Source organism: Homo sapiens, chromosome 15 (genome assembly GCF_000001405.40).
Source record: "Homo sapiens chromosome 15, GRCh38.p14 Primary Assembly".
NCBI classification, from domain to species: domain Eukaryota; kingdom Metazoa; phylum Chordata; class Mammalia; order Primates; family Hominidae; genus Homo; species Homo sapiens.
Window position 1 is genome coordinate 38,385,688 of NC_000015.10, and position 3,918 is coordinate 38,389,605.

The window sequence follows — 3,918 nt, forward strand, 5'->3', positions numbered from 1 at the left end:
TGAGAAAACCTGGCAGATGGGTTCCAGTTATTCAAGACTGCTTTTGACTTCCTTTATGACATGAACCCTTCTATGATAAGGGCATTGAAACTAAAGCAAATGAAAGGATTGGTACCACATAGAAACATGGTTTAGAGAAATAAAAAACAAAAAAAGATACAAATTACTTCCAGTGTATTTTTGTAAAGTTATACCTGGGTGCCTGCCTTCCTCCCTCACCTTCCATCTCCTCTACCGACCAACCCCGCCTCATCTCCCCCTCCCCATCCTACCCAATGTGAAGATTATGAGGATGAAGACCTTTACAATGATCCACTCCCACTTAATGAATAGTAAGTACATTTTCTCTTCCTTGTAATTTTCTTGATGTTTCCTTTTCTCTATCTTACTTATATAAATAAAAGATTCTGGAGTTACAAATATAGTACCATATATGAAACTTATTCTCCACATGATTCATAGGCAAGCTATTACTCAAAAAATGGGTGAAGCCTAAAAGTTACAGAGGCCCACCAGATGCCATTAATAAGTTAATTTTATACAAACAAACTCTTTTAAAAACCACTGGTCCCTCACAGAAATTTGCTAGTTAACTGTGCCAAAGTACTAGAACCTGTAGCTTAATGCCTATCATCAGTTTTGGAAAATTCTTTTACTATCTCTTCAAATGTTTCTTCTGCTTTCTTTCCTCTGGTCTCCTTCTATGACTCTAATTATAGATCTTTTCCTTTTTTACCACACACTCTATGTCTCCTTTCTTTATTTTCTATATTTTTATCTCTTCATGCTTCAGTTTAAATATTTTCTTTTGACCTACTTCCAGCTTACAAATTTTTAATGCTGTGTATGATTTTGTGTTAAATCCATCCATTCAAGTCTCAATTTCATTTATGTTTTATCCACTTTAAAGTTTTTATTTGATTACTTACTATACTTCCCAATTTCCTGCCGACATTCCCAGACATGTCTTTTAGTTATTTGAACATACTAATCATATATATTTTAAGTTTATATTTATTTAATAACCTTATTATCTGGATTACTTGTATATTTGTGTCTGTGTTTTTTTTTCTTGATTTTCCATTACATCTTGTCTGCTTATATGCCTAATTGCCTGACTGATTTTTTTTTCTTTTTTGAGACAGGGTCTCACTCTGTTGCTCAGGCTGGAGTGCAGTGGCACCATCTCGGCTCACTGCAACCTGCATCTCAGGCTCGGGATGTCCTCCCACTTCAGCCTGCTGAGTAGCTGGGACTGCAGTGCATGCCACCATGCCTAGCTAATTTTTGTATTTTTTGTAGAGATGGTGTTTCAGCATATTGCCCAGGCTTGTATTGAACTCCTGGGCTCAAGTGATCTGCCCGCCTCAGCCTCCCAAAGTGCTGGGATTACAGGCATGAGCCACTGTGTCTGATCTGCCTGATTTTTTATTTATTTATTTATTTTTTTACTGAGATCTTGACATTGAAGAAATATTTTAAAGCTCTGGATTATATTATCTTCCTCCAAGAAGATTACTTTTGCTTAAGCAGGTATCTAGGCTAGGAGTGCTAGCAATTACAAATCATCTTAATTCAAACAAGAATTGAAATGATTTGATACTGAGCTTCAGTCTTTGAGAGGAATGATTTATTTCTAATTTGCTTTACTCTTAGGATTCATTTCCTGAAATAATTTCCAGGGCCCCTCCTCTGATTTTTCCCCGAGTCCTGTGAATCTGTTGAAAGCTTATTCAGCCTTTCAGCTATTACTTTTTAGACTGTCAATTACCTACAAAGGAAAAGCAGCTCTAAGTGCTGTGCTCACCTCTCTGCACTTTCTTGCTCTCTTGGATCTTGGGCCACAATTTCTTGGCACCTTAGTAGCTCTCTAATACCTTCAAACAAATTTAAAAGAATTTTTTTTAATTTTTCTAATTGTTTTAAATGGGAAAATACTTCTGAGACAACCTAGTCTACCAAAGCTGGAAGCAAAATTTCATTGAAAGGGAAAGATGAAACATGAGCTTTTGCTTTATGAAAGATCAAAGGGTACCAAATTTGCTGATGTTTTCTCTGATGCTATAGAGTTATTGATAGTATGCTTCCTTGCAGATTTCTTTGTAAATAATAAGCATCTTGATCTAGTCTTTTGAGGTAAATATAAAGTTTAACAGCGAGTAAGAAAGGGACTACTTTTCAAAAGAACTTTGTGCTATGGAGAGAGAATTTTGAAAGAAGCATTGGTAAAACATTTCCATCATTTTAAGATTTTGTTGTTGCACGTATCAGGTTAACACTTACAAAGTCTCATCTGCAAGACAGTTACAAATTAGGAATTACAGTTTTTTCAACTGTTTAAATCTTTCTAGCAGAAAAAATTTTATTGAGTCTGGAAGCCATTTGTTAAAAATAAAAAAAGCAACATCTTCTAATTGTTTGCCCAATAGTAGCAGAAATGAACATTAGCTAACTAAATTTTCTCCTCCCTCCAAAAAACCCTTTGCATAATTGGTAGATGGGATTTTAAAAATAACAAGTGTAGTTTAATAAACAGAACCAACAATGAACTTCTTTAATTTAGATTTATATCTTTGTGAATTTTTTCTTTTCCTTTTTTTTTCTTTTTGAGACAGTCTCACTCTGTCCCAGGCTGGAGTGCAGTGGCCTGATTGTAGCTCACTGCAGCCTCAAACTCCTGGGCTCAAGTGATCCTTCCATCTTGGGATCCTCCCTCCCAAGTAGCTGGGACCACAGGTGCATGCCACCACGCTTGGCTAATCTTTTTTTTTTTTTTTTTTTTTTTTCAGATGGAGTCTTGCTCTGTCACCCAAGCTGGAGTGCAGTGGCGTGATCTCAGCTCACTGCAACTTCTGCATCCCAGGTTCAAGCAATTCTCCTGCTTCAGCCTCCCGAGTAGCTGGGATTACAGGCATGTGCCACCACACCCGGCTAATTTTTGTATTTTTAGTAGAGACAAGGTTTCACCACGTTGGCCAGGCTGGTCTTGAACTCCTGACCTCAAGTGATCCACTCGCCTTGGCTTCCCAAAGTGCTGAGATTACAGGTATGAGCCACTGTGGCTGGCCTAATCTTTTCTTTTTTGTAGAGATGAGGTCTCCCTATGTTATCCAAGCTGGTCTTGAACTCCTGGGCTCAGGCAATCCTCTTGCCTCAGCCTCCCAGTGTAAATTTTTTCTAGTTATAGCAGCCATTCACATCAAGTATAAAAATAAGCTGAATGTAGGACCAGACATTTGAAGCATATTCAGTAACTTGCTCACATTAATAATTTGTTAATGACATAAAAAGTGATTTTGTGCCATTTTAATAAATGTATTTAAAAGTATTGTTACTTCATCATTTTTTCTTTTTTAGGTGTTAGAATTCCATGTATAAGTATTGTGGTGTATATATAATTTATAAGTAAACTTATGTATATTAGAAGTAATACTAAGAAATATTAGCTGGTGGGTATGTGATCAAAAAATTTTGGATGCTACTTCTCTAGAGAATATATCAGAGGCAGCATACACTAAAAAAGCAAACAAACAACCAAAAAAACAACAGAGTTTATACTTCAAAGATAAAATATAGTCAAGCTATTAAACAACAAACAAAACAAAACAAAACAAGACAGCTGAGTTAGCATTCCCTCAAATTGCAGAGCCAGGCGGAAGTTGGCATTTCTGCTTCCAATTACTTCTCTTCTCTGTTTTCAGACAGGCACCATGGTTTCCACAAAGCTCTCCTAAAGCCAGAGATGTTTCCAACTGACCTGTAGTAATTAGGAGCACAAGCCTTGAGTCCTGGTGAAGTTATGTGATCTCCGGGAAGTTATAGAAATCGTGCACACCTCAGTTGTCTCATCTGTAGGATGGACTAATAATAGTATTTTATTTATTTCTTTTTACCAACTGACATCTGAGCACCTCTCCC

At 36.6% G+C, this 3,918-nt stretch overlaps 1 annotated feature.

Annotated features, from left to right (window-relative positions):
- Nucleotides 1,332-1,515: a silencer, noted in NCBI's record as "fragment chr15:38679220-38679403 (GRCh37/hg19 assembly coordinates)". NCBI's record gives its function as "represses an EF-1alpha promoter that drives an FKBP-Casp9 reporter gene in an ReSE screen in K562 erythroleukemia cells {active_cell/tissue: K562}" and the evidence as "EXISTENCE:reporter gene assay evidence [ECO:0000049][PMID:32094911]".